General features: G+C 37.6%; 1 long non-coding RNA gene across 4 annotated transcripts in view; it reads left to right on the top strand.

Moving 5' to 3' along the window:
* LOC107983974 (uncharacterized) overlaps nucleotides 1-27589 on the top strand; it is a 207567-nt gene that overhangs the window by 21077 nt on the left and 158901 nt on the right. Inside the window, exons 4-6 of one of the 4 annotated variants that reach the window (XR_007064771.1) lie at nucleotides 13668-13825; nucleotides 18170-18321; nucleotides 18888-26531. This is a non-coding gene — a long non-coding RNA (uncharacterized LOC107983974). Of the gene's footprint in view, nucleotides 1-13667; nucleotides 13826-18169; nucleotides 26532-27589 lie in introns of those variants that run through there. The other 3 variants (XR_001751681.2, XR_001751679.2, XR_001751680.2) reach the window with 3 other exon arrangements.

Consider the following 27589-nt stretch of genomic DNA (forward strand, 5'->3'; position numbering starts at 1 on the left):
GAAATGTTTTAAATTGTTGATTCAATTTCATAATAGATGTAGAACTATATAAGTTAGCTCTTTCTCCTTTTGTAACTTGGTAGTTTGTATCTTTCAAAGGGTTGGTTCATTTCATTTAAGTTATCAAATACGTGTGCATTGAGTTATTGGTAGCATTTCTTTCTTATTCCTCGAATATCCATGGGATTGGTAGTGATGACTGCTCCCTCATTTCTGATATTGATAATTTGTGACTTCCCCTTTTTTTCTTGGTTAGTCTGGCAAATGGTTTTTCAATGCTATTAATCTTTTTAAAGAATGAGTCTTTGATTTTATTGCTTTCTCTATTATTTTCTTGTTTATAATTTTATTGATTTCTGCTATAGTTTTCATTATTTCCTTTTTTCCTGTTTACTTTAGGTATAATGGGCTCTTCGTCCTCTAGTTTACTAAGGGAGGAGCTTAGGTTACTGAATTTCTTCTTTTCTAGTATATGCATTGAATGCCATCCATTTTCCTGTAAGCACAGCTTTCACTGCATTCCATAAATTTTCATTTTCATTTAGTTCAAAATATTGTTAAATTTCTCGAGAGTTCTTCTTTGACCCATAGCTTATTAGAAGTGTTGTTTAATCCAAACTGTTGGGAATGTTTTAGCTATCATTCTGTTATTGATTTTTATTGTGTTCTGAGAGCATTCTTCATATAATTTATATTTTAAAAAATTCATTGTGTTTTACGGGCTAGAATGTGGTTTATCTTGGTGAATGTTCTTATGAACCTGAGAAGAATGTGTATTCTGCTGTTGCTGGAGTACCCTATAAATGTTTATTAGTTTCAATTGATTGATAATGCTGTTCAAACCATTTGTGCCCTTACTGACTTTCTCCCTTCTTGATCTATGCATTACTGAAAGTGTAGTGGATTTGTCTATTTCTCATTGCAGTTCTATCAGTTTTTGTCTCATGTATTTGGATACTCTTTTGATAGGTGCTTATACATTTAAAATTATGTCTTAAAGAACCAACTCTTTTATTACTAAGTTATGCCTTTTTTTATGCTTGATAATCTTCTTTACCTTGAAGTTTGCTTTGTCTAAAATTAATAATCTGCCAAGCTTTCTCTTGATTAGTGTTAGCATGGTATATGTTTCTCCATTCTTTTACTTTAGCCTATTAGAGGCTTTGTACTTAAAGTGAGTTTCTTGTAGACAATATAGAGTTGGGTCTTTAAAAAAATATTTACCCTGACAATCTTTGTATTTTAATTGGTATATTTAGTCCATTCACATTTAAAGTGATTATAGCTACAGTTACATTGACATCTACCATCTTTGGAACTTTTATTTATTACATTTGTCATTTATTTATTTTATTCTGACTTTTTCTGTCCTTTCTAGTCTTACTGAGTATTTTTTATGTTTCTATTTTATCTCCTCTCTTAGGATAGCAATTATACTTCTTTTAAAACTGTTAATATGTTTGCTTTAAACAGTTATCTTTTAGCTTATTTGAGAATAGGAAAATAAAGATTTACTTTGCCTTCATATATTTCATACAGATACTCTTTATGTTGATCTAAGTTTCTGCCCTATATTATTTTCCTTATCACTGAAAAACTTCTTTTTATATTTATTAAATTTTTGGCAGGGAAGTTCTTCCCTTAATGAATTCCCTTAGTTTTTGTTTGCCTGAGAAATTATTTATTTTTCCTTCACTTTTGAAGGTTAATGTTCCTAGTTGTTAGGTCTGAATTCTGAGTTGATTTTTTTTTTCTTTCAACATTACCTAAGTAATACCTGTTATTAACTTTGGCAAATTGTTGGCCAATATTACATCAAATATTTTTTCTCCTTTGCTCTTACTTTCTTTACCTTCTGGCATTCTAATTATGTGTATGTTACATCTTTTGAAATTGTCCCACAGTTCTTGGATGTTCTGTTCTATTTTTAAATTTTCAGTCTTTTATTTTTATTTTGGTTCAAGAGGTTTCTATTGACCTGTCAACAAGTTTATCTATTCTTTCCTCAGTTGTGCTAAGTATACTAATGAGCCTATAATTAGTGTATATTAGTATTCTTCATTTTTGTTATTGTGTTTTTTTATTTCTAGCATTTCATTTTGATTTTTTCTTAAAGCTTTTGCTTAGGCTACTTTTACCATTAGCACTCTTAACATATTAATCATAGTTATTTTAAATGTGCTGTCTGATAATTCCAACACCTGTGTCATATGTTTTATTCTAATGCTTGCTTTATCTTTTCAGATTGTGTATGTTCTTCTTCTGGCATGTCTTCTGCTTTTTTATATTGAGTAATGGGAAACAGGTAAATTGAGGACTTACGTTATTCTGGTTAGGAGTTGGGTCGTGTTTAGTGTTGCTCATAGATGTAGGCACCAAACATTTCAATCTCCTCTAGCATCCTTGTTTTTGTTTCACTTCTTGATTGTAGGTTTTTCTATGTTCTATTCCTTAAAGAACATTTTTCTCCTGCAGTTCTTACAGCTGCAAGCACAGTTATTACACTGGCCCCCTGTATAATCTTCTGATTAAGTCTCAGCCTTCTATTACCTCGGTGTTTGAGGCTGTGATCTTCACCAGTGTTTCTCCAGTGGTGTAGCTTTTGTCTCTTTGTCCCTCCTACCTTTCTGGCTGCAATATTCCTAATCTATTTATTTGAACTCTAATCTCTGTGAACTAGTGTGTTTTCTACTGCTTTAGGTGACGTAGGAAAACTGGAGACTTGAGCTGGAAGAATTTCTCTTCTCTTTCTGGAGTAAGGGTTCAGAATTGAGTGCTGGCCATCTTCTTTTTCCTGGCAAGTGGGCTTTTTTTTTTTTCCTTTAGAAACAGCTGGCATATTTTACACTGGCTGTTCTTCCACTCCACTTAAAAGAGCCATGAGGACATATTTTTGAGATACATACAATGTCAACCTAGTGGAACTACTGAAGAGAAGGACCACAAAAGTGTGGGAACTCCTTCTCAATCTCATGCTAGTAAACACTTAGCCTCCAGAAATTCATCAAAGTCACCATTTAAGTGTTTATACCAGTTTATGTCTCTAGAAGCTTCTGCTCCAAGTAAGATATTGGTTGCTGTATCTTTCTGCATGTACCTCTCTCCATATTTGGGAGTTGGTTTGCCCCATGACCTCAATTCTCTTGGTGGGTCCAAGAAAAGTCTTTGATTTTTAGTTTATTCAGATTTCCCTTGTAAAGATGGAGGTGATGACTTCCAAGCTATTTACATGTTCAAGCAGAAACCATAACTCCCCACATTAACTATTTTACCTCTAGTAGAAAAAGGTCCCACTGTGGTTGGCAAATCCTAAGAAGATATCTGTAATCTAGTGGATCAGAGTCACTGGGAAGTCAAAAGGAAGTGGAAGTCTGGTAAGTCCCTCTTTTGGGGAATTACTGGTACCTTGAGGCTGTTGGTGTCTCTTTAGGCTTCCTATTTCAGATAAAGAACCTACTGAAACAAAATAGTTTTCCAAAATAAGGGAAAAAAAGAGGGGGAAAAAAGAGGGAGAAAAACCCTGTTTTTCACTGTAGAAACTGAATATGGCAATTCTGACTTCTGAATTATGAAACCACTTGCCCTCCCTTTCCCTACTTATAAAACTCCTCTCCCCATGGAATTTCCTGGTATTGTGAATGTCCACATTCCTGGTATTGCAAAAATCTGATATAATAATAATACAAACATAAGAAACCAGCACCTGTGTAAAGTTATTATAAGAAAATGTAAATTAGTATCAAAACCTTTAGCATATTAAAATGTTGCCAAAAAGTCATGAAAATGAAGAACATTGTAACAAATACTGTTTATGAGTTAAATATTGTTAAATGAGCAATTGCATATGTGAAAGCGTACATGACTCAGAGTAGAAAAAATCAAAAACAGGGAAGTATAAAACAAAAGTTGGTAGAGCTCAGAAAGGAAATGGAAGAAAAAGACAAAAACCATTTAAGAATAAAAGATAAATTATGAGGAACGCAAGGATGAATAGATGCAATGGAGAGGATAATAGAGAGACAAAGATAAATGTAAAACTGAAATGTGGAAGAGGCTAAAAGAATTAGATAGACTACCTGTTCTTTCCTTGATGGAGTGATAGTTATAGGGTTAATCTCCTGCTATAAACAATTATAGAACTGGATTAAATATTTGAAGCAACTGGTTTCAGATATTGAACAATAGGTAGTGCAAGGCTTTGATCCTTGAGCAAATGGAAATACTCAAGGAGAGCTCAACATTCACCCTGGATTTCTGGCTGGTGCTTGTTCCAAACAATTGCACAGGGAATTGGAACAAGCAGAAAGTAACTGTCCTTCTGGGTAGAAGAAACAGAGATCAGAGTTTGGGGATGCTGCAAGGCTGAAATGTACAGAGTATGGTACTGGAGAAAACATATATTCAGAGAAGGAATTTTATAAATCTGCATAGGTACCCCTTAACTCTTGGCTTAATACTAAACTATACTGGCATGGCATGCAATTTCTTCAGTTGTGACAGAGAAATGCTGCAGGGCACCACAAGCTGAACTAGTATTTTAGATATCATTCAGTTTTGAGAGATGTTAAATTTCTGATCAGGCAGCTTTGGGCATCTCAGCCACGCATTTAGCTGAGATGCCAAAAACTCTGTCTTCGAGTAGGGTTACACCTTATTTTAGAATAAGGGTTACTCTGGACCTATACTAAGAAGTACTAACAGTAAGCCATGGCAAGATCAAGCTTATCTTCCAGTCAATTACCTGCCAGAATAAACCTTAACATTCTTTAATGGAACACACAAAAAATTAGGTTCTCAACTATGTAACATATACAATGTCTAGTATACAAAGAAAAATTACTAGATATGGGAAGAAATAAGAAAGTGTGAGCTACAACCAGAAGAAAAACCTGACAAACAGGAAAAGGCTGGGATAGAAGATATGTTGGAGTTAGCAGGCAAGGACTTTAAAAAGTTATAGTATGCCTGAAATTTAAAGAAAAAGATAACACAATGAGCAAACAGATTGGGGAATATTGATGACATTAACAGCAGATTGGATTATATAGAAAAAAAATCAATGGACTTAAAGACATAGCAACAAAAACTATAAAGCATAACACACAGAGGGAAACTTGCTGAAAAAAATATGAGAGAGTGCATTGGTGACTCATGGGACAATAATAAGCTGTTTAATAGGATTGTACTTGGGGTCCAGGAGGAATAGGGGAGACATTAGGACAAAAAGAATTTGAAGAGATAATGGCCAAGAATTTTCCAAATTTGATGAAAAAGAGCAACTCACAAGTCTGAGAAGTTCAATAAACACCAAGAAGGATAAACTCTAAGAAAACCATCTCTAACCATAAAATAATCAAAATGCTAAAAACAGCAAATACATAGAAGATTTTAATTCTTATGAATTATTTTTAGTACTTTCATAGTCCATTTAGTGTTGCTAAGGAACACTTAAGGCTGAGTAATTTAATTTATTAAAAAAAGAGGTTTATTTGTATTACAATTCTGCAGGCTGTACAGCAAGCTTGACCAGCCTGCAGCCTGCAGGCCACATGCAGCCCAGGATGGCTTTGAATGCAGCCCAACACAAATTCATAAACTTTCTTAAAACCATATGAGTTTTGTTGTTTTTTTTTTTTTTGCAATTTTTTAAAGCTCATTAGCTATCGTTAGTGTGTTTTCTGTATGGCCCAAGACAATCCTTCTTCTTCCAATGTGGCCCAGGGAAGCCAAAAGATTGGACACCCCTGCTATACAAGAAACATGGCACCAGTGTCTGCTTCTGTTAAGGGCTTCAGGCTGGTTCCACACATGGGGAAGGTGAAATCAAGCTGCTGTGTACAAGAAAGGGGGAAGATGCTAAGATATTTTTCAACAACCAGCTGTCATGAAGATGAATAGAGTGAGAACTCACTATTGTAAGAATGGCAGCAAGCCATTTATGTGGGATTTGCCCCATGATCCAAACACCTCCCAATAGGCCCCACCTCCAGCATTGTGGATCACATTTCAATATGAGGTTTGGAGGGGTCAAATATCCAAACTATAGCAAGTACTATTTATTTTTTTCATATTATATTTATTTATACCACATGCATTAATATTAATCACTATGCTTTGTAGTATGTATTAATATCATATTCCTATGCTTTGTATTTTTTCTGCAAAATTAATCTTAAGTTATTTTTGGCCTTTGCTGTTTCATATCAATGATATGAAAATGCCAAAAATAAGATTAATTTTGCAGAAGATATACAACTTATCAAAGCTTGTCAAGTTCCACAGAAATTTTGTTATTATTCAGTTAGTGGTGTTTAGGAAGAGTATGAAGTTTTGTATATTAATCTTATTCTCTATAATCGGTCATAATATTTTGCCAATAGATTAACAGCATCTAAATAAGGAGAATAATCTAAATCTTTCAAATGCTTAAAATGTATTTCTTTTTCATATCATTGTATTGGCTGGCAACAATACCTGTTTGTATTTGTACTCATCATGGCTTCTTTGGGTAGACACTTACATAATTCTAGCTTCTAAAACCATCCCTAAAATGTGAAGCAAAAAACCTGAATAACAACAACAAAAAAACCTGGAAGGCCATAAAGATCATAAAGAAAAGACTTGGAATTAATGAACTGTTGAAAAACTGGGAACCTTCGTCTTGTCCTTCACTGCATTAAAGATCATTCTAAAGTTTCATCCTTTAGTTTGGTGATATCTGTAGGTTTTGATAGAAATGCGTAATCCAGCTGCTTTTGGGATTTTGTCTTTGTCTTCAGTTTGAGCTGTTTTACTATAAAGTTTCTAGGTTTGGTTGTCTTTAGGTTAATCCTGATTGGTTTTAACAGAGTTTCTTGAGTCTATGGCTTGATGCCTTATTTCTGTTTTAGAAGTTTCTTAGGTGTTATGTATTCAAATATTGCTTCATACTTCTCCATCTTTCTGGTTCTTTAATTACATGTACATTAGAACTTTCCACTGTGTCCCATACATTTTAATACTCAGTGTAATTCATCTCTTGATTTGAATATACTAGTTCTTTATTCTTTGTTAAACTCATCTTCTGAATTAATTTAGTTTTAGCCAATATTTTCTCAGTTCTGAAATTCCTTTGATTCTTTCTTATAAATACCAGTTCCCAGGTAAAATTCTGCACCTACTTCTTGATTGTGTTAATTATATTAATTATAGATTTTTCGCTGTCCTTGTCTAATTGTTTTAATATCTGCTTCACATTTGAGTCTATTTCTGTTGTCTGTTTTTGCTCATGTGTTCTTGTTCTTTTCATGTTTGGTAATTTTCATTGAATGCCAGGCATTGCTTATAAAACATTTTAGAGTCTCTGGATGACGTTATCTTCCCACATTAAGAATTTAACATATTTCTGTTGGCCAAGCAGGATATTGGCCAATAACCATGATTTAATCAAAGTTGAGTTTCAGGACTTATTAGGCCTTATCTATTTTTGATTTGACCTTAGTCCTGTATGATGTACTAAGATTTTATTTCCATTTTTTCCCAGACTGGTGAAAGATAGTAAGCTAGTCTTAGAGTGATAGTCTAACAATTTTCCCCAGAAATATAAAGTCTGGTTGTATTTGTATTGATTGTAGTCCCTGAAACTTAGATTCTTAAGTATTTTATAAACTATGGTGATTGATATAGTTTGGCTGTGTCCCCACCAAATCTCATCTTGAATTGTAGCTCACATAATTCCCACATGTTGTGGGAGGGATGCGGTGGGAGATAATTGGATCATGGGGGTGGTTTCCCCCATACTGTTCTTGAGGCATCTGATTTTTTTGTAAGGGGAAACCCCTTTCACTTGGTTCTCATTCTTTCTTGTCTGCTGCCGTGTAAGATGTGCCTGATGCCTTCCACCATGATTGTAAGGCCTCCCCAGCCACGTGGAACTGTGAGTCCATTAAGCCTCTTTTCCTCAGTAAATTACCCAGACTCAGGTATGTCTTTATCAGCAGCGTGAAAATGGACTAATAGAGTGCCCCAATAACTTCACAGATCATGTACCAAATGTGGGAATAAGCAAACTTGGAAGGCCATAATGACCATAAAGAAATGACTTTGAAACCTGGACTTCTTGGAATTTATGGACAAACAATGTAGTAATTTGGATGGTTATGATCCCAACTTGAGACTATTTGTTATATCTAGATTTACTATTTTTTGATTACATATATTAATGTCACAGCACAATAAAATAAACGAACTAACTGTACAGTTGACCTTTGAACAACACAGGTTTGAACTATGCAGGTCCACTTATATGTGGATTTTCTTCTGCCTCTGCCGCCTCTTAAAGAACAAGATAAATCCCTCTTCTTCTTCCTCCTCCTCAACCTACTAAATGTGAAGACCACAAGGATGAAGAACTTTATCATGATCCACTTCCACTTAGTGAATAGTAAATGTATCTTCTCTTTCTTATAATTTAAAAATAACATTACTTTTCTCTAGCTTACTTTATTGCAAGAATACAGTACATAATTCATACAACATATAAAGTATGTGTTAATTGACTGTTCATATTATCAGTAAGGTTTCTAGTCAACAGTAGGCTGTTAGTATTAGGTTGGTGCAAAAGCAACTGCAGTTTTTGCCATTACTTTTAATTACTTTTAATGGCAAAAACTGCAGTTACTTTTGCACCAACCTAATAGTCAAGTTTTTTGGGAGTCAAACGTAAACACGTTTCTGCCTGTGTGGCAGATCTGCACCCATTATCTTCACATTATTCAGGAGTCAACTGTATATTATAAAACCTTGGGACAACATAGGTATCCAATTTAAGTACTTTTCCTCAGACAAGCTTTAGAATGCTCACATTAGATACACATTTGCACATTTCCGAAGTTACTAGTTCATCTTTTGGCTCTCAGAGAGAGCCTCTAGCAAAGACTCATTTCAATGTTTCTTGGTGGCATACAGTCCAGATGTGAGCCACCACCAGCTGAACATCCTGAGGGCTATAAAGCGCACTGTGTTTGTTTTGTTTTGTTTTTTGTTTGTTCCTAATTCTTGTTTATGGTTTTGCCAAGGCGTGATCTAAGCAATCTTTTTCAGTCACAAAATTGCTGTTGTGTTTCCTCTATAATATGAATAATTTGACTGCAGGCATGCAGGCTGTCTGGTTATGGTTAATTTCAGTCTCTGACTATTGAAGGTGCTCTGCCCTAGTGTGGCAGTCTCTTCTCATGAATTCTCAGACACTTGTTTCATAGGAGGTGAAAATTCCAAGCCCCCAGCCAGAAGGCTGAAGAATAATGGAGAAGATGAGATGACACAGACCAGCGTACATCCAGGGAAACAGCTCTGGCTGGGCTGGAGTGTTAAGGTGGTGAGCTACTTAGAGAACGAAGTATATCAACTCCCTGATTTTATCCAGCTGCTCGCCAGCTCCAGATGGACAGAAAGAGTTTGATCTCTCCCTTCTCCATTTAGACAAACAATACATTATTAGAAATAAACAATTATTCTGAAATGTGCATAACAGCTGCAGGTTGGATGCAATTGTGATAAGCAGAAGAAAAGAAAAGCCTGAAATGAAGCCTTAAAAGAAACCTAGAGAATATTCAGATTCCACAAAATAGAGACGATTCACAAACTAGAGACAATTCACTTTGGCAGCATCCTTTGAGCTGCTTGGCAGTTTTAATGCTGAATCCTTATCTTTATAAGCATATTTTTGCCATTGCTGTTACTTTATAATCTCTCTTCTCAAGAAATTTTATATGCTTTGTTCTGGAGATCATAGCTGGCAACAAGCCATGAGGGAGGAGCTCATGGAGGGGTGTGTGTGTGTGTGTGTGTGTGTGTGTGCGCGTGCGTGAGCTATCACCTCCTCTTTTGTTAATTCTCAACTCCTTTTCTATTAGTACTTGAAAAACTTAGTCACATGAACAAATGAGTTAAAGTAATTTTTCTTGTTCTTGAGAAAACAAGCTCACCTATTACACTATGAATTTAATTTCTTTTTTTTTTCATTTTAAAAAGGCAGACTTCTGAGAGACCTTGCTTGGAAGAAACTAGAAAGTCTAGTTTTTATTTCAAATTTGCATGAACCACATAGAGAATATATTAATTCTGTTGAAATCACTTTCTTTTTGGATCTGTCTGGGATAGATGAACTTGATTTAGAGAGCCAGAGGCACTGGGTGACTTTCAGATGTATTGCATGACTTTCCCAAGGCAATTTCCCTGGTTAGATAGAAACCGTGGATTCTCTTTTCTGTTGGTTCCCAATCCAAGGTCGTTGTCTGCTTCCCCTCAGCTCTTTATTTTATTCCAGCAGAGCTACAAATGAGAAACCCAACCCATTCAATAGCTCTGAACGAGGTCACTCTGCTCACTCTGCTGTTTAAAATAAATAGATGTCCTCTCCCTACCCTAAGGTGGGGCTGAGCTGTCCTCAGTTTAGGGAGACAGTTTCTCTAGGGCAAAGATTTTTTTAGACTTTTTTGTTAGTTGACCTAACCATCCATTGAGAATTGGATGGATAAATGGATTATCTCCCTTCCCCCCAACAAATACACACATTCCAAAATTAGCATCCAATATTGCAGAAATTATGAAGCATCTTGGAGATATTTCATGTACACCAAGTAAAGAATCCCTGTGTTAGTGGCATGTGGATAAATGTTCAAAGCAGGCTTTGGAGACATACAAACATGGGTTTAAAATCCAATTCTGCTACTTAGTAACTTGAGACTCTAGACAAAAATACTTAAAATCTTGTTGCATCACTTTTCTCATCAATAAAATGAAGATTATAGTATATACCTAATGGATTAGTTATGGGGGATATCCAAGTGCCATATAAACCATGAGAAATGAAAACAGGAATCACAATCTGTAATCCTGCACTATGACTCACAAAACAGATAAAATGCTTCAAATGATGACATGCAACAGAACGATCAAAACTCCAGTTGTTGGAATACCAGTACCTTCAGACTCGTATGTTCTAAGCTTAGAGCATAAAAAAACCGTTTTAACAGTAACTCTGCAGGAATCCATGTGTTTCAAAGATAGAACCATTGCTCATTCCAGCAAATCATCTGATTTATAAGTTCTGAATAGTCCCTGCCCAGGTCTTGATTAATAATTATCCTAAAACCAGTCTATAACTTCCCTTTCTTAATTCCTCATTTGAGATACTATCATAGTTTACAACCATCCGTGGATTTCTTTAGTGGTCTTGGTATGTGGGCTTCCACTACCCCACATGCCGTATTTTCTATCTGAAAATAGAGCAGAGATTGTCTATTTTCTTCCTTCACCTAAAGCATGTTGAATTTGTTTACAGTTATCTTGGTTAGGGCCACCATCCAGAGAAGAAAAAGCAAGACTGAATGTGAGGCTGTCTAACGGCGGGTAAGAACAGGCTTGTTCTGCGAATTATACATTAATATATTTTTGCTTATTTTCTGTTGAGTTTTTGGTCTTTTTATTTCTAGGAACTCCTTGTACATCAGCATTATTAGCCCATCATCAATGATATGAGTTGCAGAATGTTTATTGAAAAGATGCACTGTCTTTTGACTTTGACTCCGTTTATGGATTTTTATTTGTTTTAGTTCATCTTTCAGAAGAACTTAATTTCATGTAGACAAACATATCGTGGTATTAATGATTTCTGCATTTTGGGTGGCATTACAAAGGTTTTCCCCACCAAGGATAAAGTTCATTGTGAAAAAAATAGGTGAATACAAATGGCAAGAATCAATTTTTAAAATAAGAGCTAACAGTGCGGATAGTACTACCAGGTATAAAAACAATTTTAAAGATGTGGCAATGGCACATAAAGAGAGACTGATGGAATATAAAGAAATAGGAAAAAAAATTACAATAGGAAACTAAAAGCAAAAACGTATAGGAATTCACTATTCAATAAAGGTAGCATCTGAAACCAATAGGAAAAATATGTCCATTTCATAAAGTAAACTAAAACAATTGGGCCACATCTGGAAAAAAGCTGGAGCTTTACTGTGGATAAATTTCAAATGGACCAAAGATTTAAATGTGAAAAATCCCTTACAAGTCTAAAAGGAAAGAGGGGGAGAATTTGTTTATATACTTAATTTTTCTTTACCTGGAATAGTGGATACTTGTTAGTTACCTGCCTTCCCAGCATAATTCCATTTGTATAAAATGTCCAAATTGTATATAAATATATAAATACAGAAAGTACACTAGTGGTTGTATGAGACTGGCAGTGGGAACTACGATTGACTAAATGTAAGCGGGCATGAGGCATCTTTCGGGGGTGATGAAAATATTCCAAAACTGTACTGTGGTGATATTATAATTATTGAATTGTATATTCTAAATGAGTGAATTTTATGATATGCAAATTATACTTTAAATTGTTAAAATCAAGTATGATTTACTGACAGCTATTCTTGGGCAGAATAAACCTAGAACCATGCTCACACCAAGGTCTCTCAATATGTCAAATGACCGATTCTCCCCAGGATTAGGACTTGGGAAGAATAGAGGTAACTCTGATGAATGAATAAAGAAGACAGAACTAGAAGAAAGGGAAAATTGTCTTCTGAAGCTCTAACCAGAGCTTCCTTTTGTTATCTTGCTTCCTGCAGGAACTGGCAACCTCTGTTGAAAACGGCATCCTAGCTTTCTTCCACAGATGGTGACCAGAACAGCCTGTCTCATTGCTGAACAATCACCAACATCCCTTATTGACCTCAGCCCAGTTGTTGCCCCTCTTGTTTAATTGGCCTTACATGGAAGCACTTCAACTGAAAGCATGTCATTTTTTAGGGAATTGTGCCAAAAAGCAATTAATTTCAAATACACAGCTTTTATATTTGATGCTGCAGTTTCTGTCTGAGGCAACATTTATTTATGTTCCTGTTGGAGGGAGATAACACACCAGCTGAAGGAACAAGCAGATGCAGACCCATGGGAATCACATTGTTGTTGGTCTAACTCTCCTCTTGGCTTTGGCATCCTGCAGCTGTGGCTGCCTTTACAAAATGGTAGCAATCAACTCTACCCAGGGACTGTGGCTCTTGTTTCTTTCTTTTTAAAAATTTAATTTATTACAGTGGTTTATAATCTGGATAGAACTCTGACAACTGTGGGAATATTCCCATGAAAGCCTACATGCAAATGGATATTATTCAAATTCCATGGGGATTTTTCTACCCATCTCAACCATGGCTCTGCAAAAAACCATGCTATTTGTTCTGTTTATATCTCTCAGGAGCCTACTAAAGTTTCATGTACTCCAATATGTTTCTAAATCTATGTTTCATTATGCTCTACTAGGATTCTGTTGCTTTCACTTAAAGTTGTAAGGATATCACAGAGAAAGAGTGTCCCAGAGGGATAGCCACACAGCTGGGTGGGAGCTGAGACACTTGGGGCATTTGATATACCATTTGAGTGGTGGGGTGGGCAGCACCAGGGAAGTGTATCTAACACAGCAGCACTGTCCCTTGCTGTCACTCCTTATGGCTTGTGTGAGAGCTGATGGTGTAGGTCCAGAGGGGGCTAAAGGGTCCTTGTCCTGTGAGCATGCACTATGCAGAGTTTTGCAGTTCTGCTTAGAAGAGAGCAACTCTTATGTTGGTTTGGCCAATGTCTTTCTCCTGGTCACCTAGCTTTCACTTTTCTCCTTTGTGCAGGTGAAGCCTACTGTTACTATTTGGCTAAAATAAGCCACATAGCTTGTGTTGAAGAATCTTTTTTATTTCTTTAAGAAGAATTTGGTGCCCATGAAAGTGATCAAAGTTTTTTGTTCTCCAGTGACATCAAGCAGGAGAAAAGGATATACTCTCCATTGGTGAGTCCTTAAATAGTCTAATCTCATTTCAGCAAATTCCTTCCTTCCTACTTCTATTCTTCCCTCCCTTCTTTCATTTTTTCCTTCCTTCCTACTTCTATTCTTCCCTCCCTTCTTTCTTTTTTTCCTTCCTTACCTTAGACAACCTAAGCAGTAAATAAAAAATCACAACCAGCAAGAAAACAAACCAGAAGAGCAATCCTTCCTTACCTTAGACAACCCTAAGGAGTAAATAGAAAATCACAACCAACCAAAAAACAAGCCAGAAAAGCAATATGTAAGATCACAATACAGGTGGCCCACAGGCTTGAATATTGTTATTAAAGTTGAATTGAAAATTTGTCTTTGAGGTTCTTAGGTCCAAGCAAAAGAGAATAATCACAGTTGCATGGGTCCCTTTGACCACATAGAAAAGTAAAACTATTCTTGGCACTTATGCTGAAAATTCCCATCTGTGACTCTATAGGTTATAAGAGCCCAGGCAGCATGTAGGGTATGTAAGGAAATGACTGTATTAAAAAAAGATATTGGTTTTAACAACTTTGATTCTGTAGTATTCTCAGGAAATGTTGAGGATACATGTAACCTAGTAGGAGTACTGTGAGAGCCTGGGCAGTTTTCTGCAAGTTAATGTGGCTTCTTGATGGCTTAGTTTAATCTACAGGTGTAACACAGTTATTTCAAACTCTCCAGTGTAAATATGGATTATCTTGGCAAAATCTTTTTTTTTTTTTTAATCAGGCAGCAGATAGCTCAGAGATATGTCTTCTGTCAAATACCATTGTGGCATAATTTCTCTTCTCCCCAACCTCCTACCAATTTGCTGCAGAATCTAAGTACATAATAAGCCTGAAACTATAAGATGTGCTATAAAGTTCTTAAATGGTAAGAAGTAAAACATCATTGAAAAGTTGGCTTTACCTTAGAAAAAATGAGGAGGTGCTGGGATTTCTGGGTGTCTTCGATGAATGCTGGTTGCCTCCTTGTGACAAATGCAGTTGGGAGTCCAGCTCTGCAGGGCTTTCATTGATTTTGTGGAGGGGTGACTGCTGTTTGCCACTTCAGAGCCCAGGTGAACCATCTATATTCATTAAGCCTGCTGGCATGGTGGAGAAAATGGATACATCATACTGTCTTAGGTCGAAATATCTGGGATCGGAATTTTAAGTGTTCTAGAAAACTCTGGCTGATACCTGCACTTCTTGTCTTCTATAACCAGTATTCAATATGGGCCATCCAGCTTCTTTATTGAGATTTGATCACTTAGCTTTCCATCAGTAACTCATTTTGACATATGATTGAAGAAGTTACCTTGCCAAATATCATCCAGAATCAATTTTCAGCAACTTGGGACATTTTTCAGCCTGGTCATGAATTAAGACTCATGCTCTTTTGTCTGACCGTAAACTTTACTCAACACGTGGAAGCTGCTCCCCAATTTCTTAGTACATAGTCGAGCTTCCCTCCTCCGCTATACCTGAGCATGGAGCCAGCTGTGTTTGAGACTGATTAATGAAGATTAAAATAGAAGAATCTTATCCAGTGTGAGTCAGTAGAGCAAGAGATTGAGCACACGGTGAGGGGTGTTAGAATCAGAAGGGTAGAGGGGAAAGAAAGAGAGCTAGGGACAGTTAGGACAAAGCAAGCAAAGAAGAGGGTTTGAGTAAGAAGTGTCTTGAAGAAATAGTAGCTGTTGCTCATGATTATGTTTTACCTGTGAAATTCAGATAATAGTTTTGAGGTATTAAAGCAATGACTTTTTGCTCCCCCCAAATCTCTAATAGAGTTGTGTCCCACACATTTCCTGACCAATTGACTCAATAATGTTCATTATTTGAAGGAATGGGCCATACTGCTTAGAACAAGTTCAGAATTTCATGTGATATTTTGAGACTCATTGATGCCAAAGCTAAGCACAAAATTCACGTTTTATTAGTTTAAAAAGTTTTCTAAATTCTAGAAGCTTCCCTTTACCTATTGAGTAAAGCCTTGGGGATCTGTGCTAGTGAGGTTGAGGAGATATAAAGACATTGAGTTTATGATTTAAGTGAAGTCTCTACCACACAGAAAGGGAAAACAGAAAGGCCTTCTAGCCAGTTTTGGGTAGAACGGTAGCTTAAGGGAGAACAGGAGAACAAGGAAGTCAGACTGAACAAAAGCATGATTCTGAAGAGCCTGGACAGGCAGAGAGACCCAGTCTATTATCAAAAAGAAAAGAATCCCTCCTTACTTAAAATTACCCAGGAGTCCAGAAAGTGTGCTTTTTATATTAGTATAGATACATGCAGAAACACCTGTATAAAATATATATGCGGCCAGGCGCGGTGGCTCACGCCTGTAATCCCAGCACTTTGGGAGGCCGAGGTGGGCAGATCACGAGGTCAGGAGATCGGGACCATCCTGGCTAACAAGATGAAACTCCGTCTCTACTAAAAATACAAAAAATTAGCTGGGCGTGGTGGCGGGCGCCTGTAGTCCCAGCTACTCAGGAGGCTGAGGCAGGAGAATGGCGTGAACCCGGGAGACGGAGCTTGCAGTGAGCCGAGATCGTGCCACTGCACTCCAGCCTGGGTGACAGAGCGAGACTCCATCTCAAAAACAAAACAAAACAAAACAAAAAAATAGCCATATATATACATATATGCACGTAAATATGCAAATATGTTAACAAGGTAATATTTTATCTGAAACACAAATCTACACCTTTTTCTAGCTCAGCGTTAGTTTCCCTTGTACCTATACAAAGGGGCTGCTCTCAGGTAATGTGCACCCGTCTCTCTATGCTCACACAGCAGCTCCCTCCAGAAAGCTACTAGACATTTCGTACCAAAACTAATGGTAGACCACATGCACCAGAATGAGGAAACACAGTCAAAAGCATCTATATTATTTGACAAGCATCTAGAGCATACATAAATAAATTATATTGGGAAAAACAGGCATTGAGTGATTAGCAAAGATTCTCAACCCTTGTACTGTATACTTAATTGGGGAGTTTTAAAACACTGATATATAGTCCCCACTCAGAGATTTGAGTAACTGGTCTGGCCAGGCACTGATACATATGGTTAAAAATATTTTACTTTGTACGTTAGATAATTCCAGACTTACAGAAAAATTGTAAGAATAATACCAAAGACTTCTGATTATCCTTCATCCACATTCCTCAGTAGTTATTTTTTTTTTTTAATTTTTGAGACGGAGTCTCACTCTGTTGCTCAGGCTGGAGTGCAATGGCACAATCTCTGCTCACTGCAACCTCCCTCTGCCTCCTGGGTTCAAGCGATTCTCCCGCCTCAACCTCCTGAGTAGCTGGGATTACAGACACGTACCACCACGCCCGGCTGATTTTTTGTATTTTTAGTAGAGATGGGGTTTCACCATGTTGGTCAGGCTGGACTCGAACTCCTGACCTCAAATGATCTGCCTGCCTCAGCCTCCCAAAGCGCTGGGATTACAGGCGTGAGCCACTGTGCCTGGCCAGTTGTGAAAATCTTAACACATTTACTTTTAAAAAAATTCTTTTTTTCACTCTATATGTGTTTGAGTACATTATTTTTTATGAAACATTTGAGAGTAAATTGCAAGTATGTTGTCCCTTTTCTCTTACTTTATATTTCCTACGAATGAGGACATCTTCCTACATAACAACAGTACAGTTATAAAAATCAAGACATTAACATTGATACTATTGAATCAAAGAACCAATGTAACCAGTGAACCAATATATGCGTATTTGGGACTGTCTCTGCTTAGATAGAAACAGCTCTACAAATGCTTGCAGGTGATGCTGAAACCAGTTGCACTGGCAGCTGAGCTTCATTACGATTCATTGCCCATAGTAGTATACCAGCTGAAGGCAATGGTGACTCTTCTGTTTAAGGGCAAACGCTTTCCAATAGGGTTGCTTTTTCTACATCGTGGCAAACCTGCCCAATCAAAGTCTTTCTTTTCGGAGTATAGAATCTGGATGACAAGCCAGAACATCACTGAAGCTTAGCACCAGGTCAAAATAAAGCTATAGGAGACCCCGAGGCCAAAGAGCTGCAAATGAGACCACATCTTCTACTATCCCATATCCTCTATTTTCCTGCATCTTCCTTACTGAGAGGAATAAGTACTTTCCTCCCTGCAATTCTAAGGAATTTGTCTCCTACAAAGCTGTAGAGTAAAAATTTATTTTTTGATAAATCCAATACCACTGACAAAAAACCTGCTTCTGGACTGAAGCATGTTTAAAAAGCTGTTTACAAGAACAATAGCCTTCTGTTCTGAATTAGTGGTAAGTAACTTAATGAAAAGCTGTATTAAATGGGGTTTATTTTTGCTTTTTGCTATTAAAAGTGTGGTCTGTGGACTGGCAGCATCATCATGGGTGAGAAATGAAAAACGTGGGGTCTTCCCTCACATGGATCAGTATCTGCAGTTTCACAAGCTCCCGAGGGGTGAGTGCACATGAAGGATTGAGTATTGCTCCAAATAACCAGACCAACAAGGTAAGTGTGGTGCTTTTTGGTTTTACCCGATTACAGGTGTCCATTTAGTTGTGATACAGCAACAGACATATTCATTCCTTCTTGGCTACATCTTATTGTTTGGCAAGATATCTGTATTTAGACACATTACTATGGTACAGCGGTTCTCAAAGTGTGGTCCACGGACTGGAAGTATCAGCCTCACTTGGGAATCTGTTAGAGATGCAAATTCTCTGGCCACACCCCAGACCTACTGAATCAGAAACTCTGGGACTGGGGCTCAAAGTCTGTGTCTTGACCAGCGTTCCAGATAATTCTGATGGGCTGTGGTAGTGAGACCCACTACTGTAGTACCTAGCTGCTCCAATAAGCAGACAATCTTGTCATTATAAAGCAGTCTACCAGAGTTTGAAGCAGTAGAAAATCAATGACTAATGGAGAACAGGAATGATAATCCAGCTCAGTTTCATTTTTATCTTAGAATTAATTGGAAAATGTATAGGTCGAGTGTTTCTTTCTAATCTTTCTTTAAATGCTCGGCCAGTGCCTGGATTTTTGCCTTTAATTCTAATGTCCTCCTTGCTCAGGGAGGATGCCTTTGGTGGAAGCCAAAGTTACTGCCTAAAAGACCAGTTTACTACAAATAGGTAAGAAGAAACCTGCCTAAAATCAATCACCTACTTTAAGTTAATCAGATGTTCTAAGTGGATGATTTATATGACTCACAAAGGGCATTTCAAAAAAGTTGCTGTGGACCCAGCTTCAGCAGTGAATTTTGTGTTCTAGGTGAATAAAAAGGAAAGTTTTGCAAGCAAATGCTGACTTGCAGATGGGCAGGTACTGCATAGTTCATGAACAGGAGGCACACCTGCTCTGAAGTTCTGCAGCCAACAAAGCTGTTTAAAGAGAAAGGGAGAAGCAATCAGTATTACCCACTGGTGCCTCCAAGAAGTGCCAAAGGAGGTACTTCTCATTTTAAACAAGTCGAATAATAAGGTGCAGATTAGAATCAAATGTGTAGGCAATCCTTTTTCCTGGGCAGCACTGCCTCCACTCAGAGCCGGTCACAGATGAGCAAAATTGACTTCCTGGCTTATCTCATTTTCAGTTGAAAATATTGTTGATGCATTTGCTTCTATGAAAGCCAGGAAAGTAAAATTATAGTAGATCCAATTTTAGGTATGAAGAAATACTTCAACATAAAATAATGTGAGCTTTAATACACTGGTCTTTCAATTTTTCAATAATTTCTCAACTTCTTCAATGGCCCATAAAAAAAGAACTACAAAAATATATATAAAGATATACGTATATCAGGTAGACATTTTCAGTTTTGCCTTAGGCTTCGATAAAGATTGACAAGGTATTGTTGGGCTACATCATTTATTTAAAAATCTTGATATTTTGTTCATGAACATTTTTCCATTGTTTTTAAAAATTCATTAAAATATTATTTATCTTCATTACTGATTTTTGGCACCCTCTTAAATTAGCCCAAGGCTAGTGCCTTCCTTGTCTCACCCTCGTCCTGGATCTGCTGCAGAGAATTGAGTTCAACTTATTGGGATGAAAAAAATTGTTTTTTCTTGTTAAACATCATAGTGCAATGAAGATATATTGGGCTTTTGAATAAAACGGGACATCTTTTGAATCCTTGCTGTCATTTACTAGTTTGTGATTTTGTGGATATGTAATACTGTTTGATGTCCTAACTTCCCTGAAAATCAGTTTTATAAGTTAACTTGTGTTTTTATATTTGTTAGATATTTTTGTTCCATTATGTAAATTGCATGTTCTCTGAATATATTTCTGCTGGATTTATTTATTTATTTATTTATTTTACTTTAGGTTCTAGGGTCCATGTGCACAACGTGCAGGTTTGTTACATATGTATACATGTGCCATATTGGTGTGCTGCACCCAGTAACTCGTCATTTACATTAGGTATATCTCCTAATACTATCCCTCCCCCCTCCCCCCACCCCACAACAGGCCCCGGTGTGTGATGTTTCCCACACTGTGTCCATGTGTTCTTATTGTTCAATTGCCACTTATGAGTGAGAACATGCGGTGTTTGGTTTTTTGTCCTTGTGATAGTTTGCTGAGAATGATGGTTTCCAGCTTCATTCATGTCCCTACAAAGGACATGAACTCATCCTTTTTTATGGCTACATAGTATTCCATGATGTATATGTGCCACATTTCCTTAATCCAGTCTATCATTGATGGACATTTGGGTTGGTTCCAAGTCTTTGCTATTGTGAATAGTGCCACAATAAACATAAGCATGCATGTGTCTTTATAGCAGCATGATTTAAATCCTTTGGGTATATACCCAGTAATGAGATGGCTGGGTCAAATGGTATTTCTAGTTCTAGATCCTTGAGGAATCGCCACACTGTCTTCCACAATGGTTGAACTAGTTTACAGTCCCACCAACAGTGTAAAAGTGTTCCCATTTCTCCACATCCTCTCCAGCACCTGTTGTTTCCCGACTTTTTAATGATCGCCATTCTAACTGATGTGAGATGGCATCTCATGGTGGTTTTGATTTGCATTTCTCTGATGGCCAGTGATGATGAGCATTTTTTCATGTGTCTGTTGGCTGCATAAATGTCTTCTTTTGAGCAATGTCTGTTGATATCCTTCACCCACTTTTTGATGGGGTTGTTTGATTTTTTCTTGTAAATTTGTTTAAGTTCTTTATAGATTCTGGATATTAGCCCGTTGTCAGATGGGTAAATTGTAAAATTTTTCTCCCATTCTGTAGGTTGCCTGTTTACCCTGAAGGTAGTTTCGTTTGCTGTGCAGAAGCTCTTTAGTTTAATTAGATCCCATTTGTCAATTTTGGCTTCTGTTGCCATTGCTTTTGGTGTTTTAGTCATGAAGTCCTTGTCCATGCCTATGTCCTGAATGGTATTGCCTAGGTTTTCTTCTAGGGTTTTTATGGTTTTAGGTCTAATGTTTAAGTCTTTAATCCATCTTGAATTAATTTTTGTATAAGGTTTAAGTAAGGGATCCAGTTTCAGCTTTCTACACATGGCTAGCCAGTTTTCCCAGCACCATTTATTAAATAGGGAATCCTTTCCCCATTGCTTGTTTTTGTCAGGTTTGTCAAAGATCAGATGGTTGTAGATGTGTGGTATTATTTCCGAGGGCTCTAGTCTATTCCATTGGTCTATATCTCTGTTTTGGTACCAGTACCATGCTGTTTTGGTTACTGTAGCCTTATAGTATAGAAAGAAAATTCTTTTATTTAAGAATGTTGAATATTGGCCCCCACTCTCTTCCGGCTTTTAGAGTTTCTGCTGAAAGATCCGCTGTTAGTCTGATGGGCTTCCCTTTGTGGGTAACCCGACCTTTCTCTCTGGCTGCCCTTAACATTTCTTCCTGTGTTTCAACTTTGGTGAATCTGACAATTATGTGTCTTGGAACCAAAAAAGAGCCCACATTGCCAAGACAATCCTAAGCCAAAAGAACAAAGCTGGGGGCATCACGCTACCTGACTTCAAACTATACTGCAAGGCTACAGTAACCAAAACAGCATGGTACTTCTTTCCCCATTTCTTGTTTTTGTCAGGTTTGTCAAATATCAGATGGTTGTAGATGTGTGGTATTATTTCTGAGGGCTCTATTGTCTCTCTGGAATCAGTGAGTTCTTGCTCTTTTGGACACAGAGTAGTTCCCACCAAAGCAGGTTGTTATAAGTGAGACTGCCTCTTGTGTTGGGTCTTTTTGCACATGCTCACTTGCTTTTTTTTTTTTTTTTTTTGAGATGGAGTCTTGCTCTGTTGACCAGGCTGGAGTGCAGTGGTGCATCTTGGCTCACTGCAAGCTCCGCCTCCCAGGTTCACGCCATTTTCCTGCCTCAGCCTCCTGAGTAGCTGGGACTACAGGCGCCCACCACCACGCCTGGCTAATTTTTTTTGTATCTTTAGTAGAGACGGGGTTTCACTGTGTTAGGCAAGATGGTCTCGATCTCCTGACCTCATGATCCGCCCGCCTCAACCTCCCAAAGTGCTGGGATTACAAGCGTGAGCCACCGCATCCAGCCGCTCACTTGCTTTTATGCTTGTCTGCCGTGTTGCGAGACAGCGTGAGGCCCTTACCAGAGCCTGAGCAGATGCTGGTGCCATTCTCTTGAACTTTCCAGCCACCAGAATCATAAGCCCAATAAACCTCTTTTTAAAATAAATTATCTGGTGTCAGGTATTCTGTTACAGCAACACAAAATGGACTATGACACTTTGGTAGAGTCAAACTCACCAATTTTTCCCATATAGTATATGCTTTGAAGAAGATATTGAAATTTCTACTTTTATCATCCAGTACTCCTACCTTTACTCTTTCTGACCTCCCTTAATCTTATGTGCTTTTAGAGGTTTTCCTTATGAAATCCTTTTCCTCTGAGATAAAAAAAAGTCATTTTTAATTAGTTTTATAGTGTATGTTTCATAATTAGGACTCTAATCCAAGTTGATTTTCTCTGTTGGATGATTTCATTACAACTTCTTTTAAACATATTACTCCATATGGTCTGAGTCAAATATTCTAACACTTTGTGTAAAATCAGTTTTTTCTTTTTTTCTACTGATTCGTGATGCAAACCCTCTCACATATTATGTTCCCACATATACATGAGTGGCTAACCTCTCTATCATGTTCAGTTGCTTTCCTTGAATGTTCCTATGCCACAATGATACCTTTTTAATTACTAAGGTTTTGTAAGGAATTTTACAGCTGAATTAATGTCCTTAGTTAGTTGGCTTTGAGTCACTCAAAAGGGAGATGATCTTGGATGGACCTGATCTATCAGATGAGCTTTTGCAAAGAGCATCTAGACATCAGAATCTTGAAGCAGCAGAGATTCTTTTTATTGCTGGCTTTGAAGAAGAAAGTTTCCATGAATATTACTGCTACAAAGCCATTAATTCTGCCAACAACCAGAGATTGCTTAAAGACAGATACTTCCTGAGTCAAGCCTCCAGCTGAGAATGCAGCTTGGGTGACACCTTGATTTCAGCCTTGTGAAACCCTGAGGAGAGAACCTGACAGAGCTCTGCCTGAGCTCTGGCCTTTAGAGGTCAGACTCACTTATTACTGCAAGTGATAAATTAATCCTGTTTTAAGCTATTAAGTTTGTGACTATTTGTTATACAGAATAGAAAGCTAGTATGCTATCTAGAGCTAATCAGTATTTAAAACTTTCTACTAAGATGTGCATATTATTTTCTTTCTCTTCCTCATCTTCCTCATCTCCACCATGTTGGTATCATATATTTAGTTCATGATTGCTGTAAAAATTTTTAAAAATGGATAATTCAGAAACTTTTTTTTTTTTTTTTACAATTAATACCTGTAGCTGACATTATTTATTGCTCAATAGCCAAATATCACTTTCATCTTATTTTGATGTCCTGGCTTGCCAACAGAGACCTAATTTTGTTCAGTTGTCAGGTGCAGAGCCCTTGGAAAGTAGGTTCGTCTACCAGCTTCACAGGTAAAATACCGATTGATGTAAGTTAATAAAGACTCATTCCTATATTACATGGGGCAGTTCCAGCCAATGAGATATAAAGTAGCACTGGGAAAATATGTTTTCTTATTGGTACTGTTTGGCTCCCTTTGTGCCCTTTCAGTCTAAGATCTTGAATCTTTTTAAGCTGTGGGACGTAATTAAATATAATTTCTTCAAGTATAGCCCACACTCATTTTACCTTTTCTTTTTACCCTATAATTGCACTTAGTTGGATATTGAAATTTCTACTTTTATCATCCAGTACTCCTACTTTTACTCTTTCTGACCTCCCTTAATCTTATTCAATGTCCTATGGGGAGTTTCTGAAAATCCCCTAGTTCTCTAGTTCTTTCTTCAGTTGAGTCCATTCTGTTATTAAAATCATCCTCTGAGTTCTTTATTTCAGCAATTATATTTTTAATGGCAAATGTCTCTGGTTGGTTCATCCTAATGCTTGTTCATGCTTCATATTGGTAAGAATTCTCGTTGAATACCTCAACCCTATTTATTAAGCTTATTTTGAGTTACTATTTTCTTGTATCATTAACTCTGCTTCTGCTGTGTTACATTGCGATTTTTATTGTCTTTTTCTTGTAACTCTTGGCCCTTTAAGTGTCATATAATTTTTCCGTGGGAGGTCATTTATATTGCCTGGAGCTTTCCTTACTGTTCCAGCTACCTTTGGGGAGGACAGAAAGCCTGGATGTTGCTCAGGGAGTTTAAGGGTTGGAGACTTGGAGGTTGTAAGGGTATAAGGCCTCCCTTTGCATTCTGGAATCTACTACCGTCTGCCTCCTGCACCCCTTCCCTTTTCGATAGCATCCTTTGCCTCCCCAGGAAAACTCCCAGTATCTCTGTCCTAGGTACTGCTCTATGAAATTGTAATTTCTTAGCCATAAACTGAAAAATATGAAGAGAAGTCTCAGATTCTGATCAGGCCGCCTTCATGTTTTGGTGTTGGTCTCCAATCCATTCAGGCTCAAGAGCTGCCCCATGGCTACTGTGGCCTTTGACTGGAGCATCTGCTCTACCAATCTTCAGACTTAGAGCAGGTGGGACTTCACTCAGAGCAATATAAGGAGAGAGGGGTCCCCCCAGGAAGCTCTCTCCCAGTCTAGCTCCTTGTCCATATACCGAGGATGCATCTTTCCAGTCCCTGGGGTAAAATTCTAAAATGGAATACCACGTCCTGGTCATGAGTAGAGAGAAGGAAATGATAAGGTGGACTGGGTACGCTGAAAACAAATTGTATCAGACTCGTCTCATTCAGTGCTTTTGAGAGCTACTATGCTGAAGATTCAGAAAATGAGGTACCTCTAGGAGAAAAGAGAAGGGCATGATATCTTTTGAAGCCTTGTCGACTAGATGAAAAAATACAAGAAAGATCAATGAGTTGTAGGTATTTTTAGATGGCTGTTGAGTGGCCCCAGCTAAGTCAGTTAATTGATTAATGTCTACCTGAAGAGGATTCTAGTAGTGTGCTTCAGGGATTTGACCTTTGTCCTATCCTGATAGTTCAGTATTATTTTATTAATGACATGGTGAAATATAAAGGCATATTCATATTTATAAATGTTCAAAAGCTAGGAGGGGGGACTGTGCCTATGTTGTATGTGAGAATCTGGTTCTAAATAAACATCAAAAAGATTAGAGAGACTAATGTAATAGAAATTAATAGGAATAAGTATGCGGTTCTAAAATTTTCCTCCAAATATCACAGGATTAGCACTAGTTAATGTTGAGCATTTTAGTTCGCAGTAAGTAAACTTAATAATTTGTCAGCCACATTACACTTATTAATATTATTGCCAAAAGTTGCATGTAGAGGAATACGTTAGAAAAAGGGAGGTAAGATCTTGCTCTTCCCTGTTCTGGTCAAACTTTACCAAGACAACTTAGTTCCAGTCTGAGTATCAAGCTTTAAGAGATAAAATGATGCATTCTGGAATCCACTACCCAAAATTCAGCCTCCGCAGTGAAACAGAGTACATTCATGGCATTATCAGAGCAGTGAAAATGCTCACAAGCTACGTCACCTAAGGACTCATTTAAGGAACTTGTGATTTTCATCCTGTAAAAAAGGATGACTGGGAAGGAGACGAACATCCTCAAGTAAGGGATGTTGGGAGAATAAAAAAAAAAAAAGGAATCAGCTGCATTTTATGTGAATCTTCCAAAGGATAGGGTTAAGACCAGCGGGTGGAAGTTGCAGAACGACAGATTTCAGCTCAATGTGTGGAAAACATTCGAACAGAGCTTAGCCATTGGACACTTCATCTTTGGAAAAGGGTTGACTGATAAAGGAGATGTTTAAACCTAAGCCATATGGTTCGTTAAAACCACACGGTGGGCAACAGGAGAAGAGATCATAAAATGTTCCTATAACTCAAAATTGCTTAGCTGATTTGAGGAAGCTTCATGGGGGAGATAAAAATGGAGCTGTGCCAGGAAGGACGGACAGATAGGACTTAGTTCATGCATTTTCAACATGGTGACATTGCCCTAAGGGAATGAAATCGGTTCTTGGAGGGTGAAAAAATCTTGGCTATTCAAATTGTTTGTGACCCTCCTCAGAGCCACAGTACATAGACAGACATACAGTATATCTTTGATATTAATATTTCATGCTGGAAGGAGAGTGGTTAGGGAAATGCTCTAAAAAGTTTCCTTGGCCAGGGACGGTGGCTCACATCTGTAATCCCAGCACTTTGGGAGGCTGAGAAGGTCGGATCACTTGAGGTCAGGAGTTCGAGACCAGCCTGGCCAACATGGTAAAACCCTGTCTCTACTAAAAATACAAAAACTAGCTGGTTGTGGTGGTGGGCACCGTAATCCCAGCTACTGGGGAGGCTGAGGCAGGAGAATTGCTTGTACCTGGGAGATGGAGGTTGCAGTGAGCTGAGATGGCACCACTGCACTCCAGTCTGGGTGACAGTGTGAGACTCTGTCTCAAAAAAAAAAAAATTTTTTTTTCCATTAAGGAGGCACAGTGAAAAAAATGGTATATATATGTTTTCTTTTCTTTTCTTTTTCTTTTTTTTTTTTTTTTTGAGATAGGGTCTTGCTTTGTCCCCATCCACAGCATGGAGTGCAGTGACTCAATCACAGCTCATGGCAGCCTTGAACTCCTAGACTCAAGTGATTATCCTACCTCAGCCTCCCCAATAGCTAGGACTACAGGGCATTGTTGCATAAAAAATTGCCACAAACTTTGTGACTTGAAGCAACACACATTTATTATCTTATGGTTCTGGAGGGTCAGAAGCCCAAATGAGTTGGCAGAGCTGCAGGCCTTCTGGAGGTTTTAAGGGAGAATTCATTTCCTGGCCCTTTCCACCTTCTAGAAGCTGCCACAGTTCTTGGATCAGAACTTAGCATTATTCTAATTTCTGCTTCAGTCGTACATCTCCTGTTTCTCCGTTTCTTTAGAAAGCCCCTATAATTACATTAGTGCTACTAGTGTTACATTAGTGGATAATGCAGGATAATTTCTCCCATCTCAAAGTCTTACACAGGCAACATTCTTTTGCCATAACAGGTAACACAGTCACAGGTTCTGGGATGAGGATGTAGATATGTGGGGAGGGGGATGTGCATTCTTTTGCCTATCAGTTGGGAAATGCTGACCGATGATGCATCATTAGCCACGTGTTAGGAGGAACAAGGAAGGAAAGAGAACACAGATGGTTCTGTGCAATCATAACTGTGAAAAAGTGGCTCAGGACAGAGATAGATACAGAAGCATGCTAAGCCCAAGTATGGGCACCATTA

This window comes from Homo sapiens, chromosome 15, assembly GCF_000001405.40.
Source record: "Homo sapiens chromosome 15, GRCh38.p14 Primary Assembly".
NCBI lineage: Eukaryota > Metazoa > Chordata > Mammalia > Primates > Hominidae > Homo > Homo sapiens.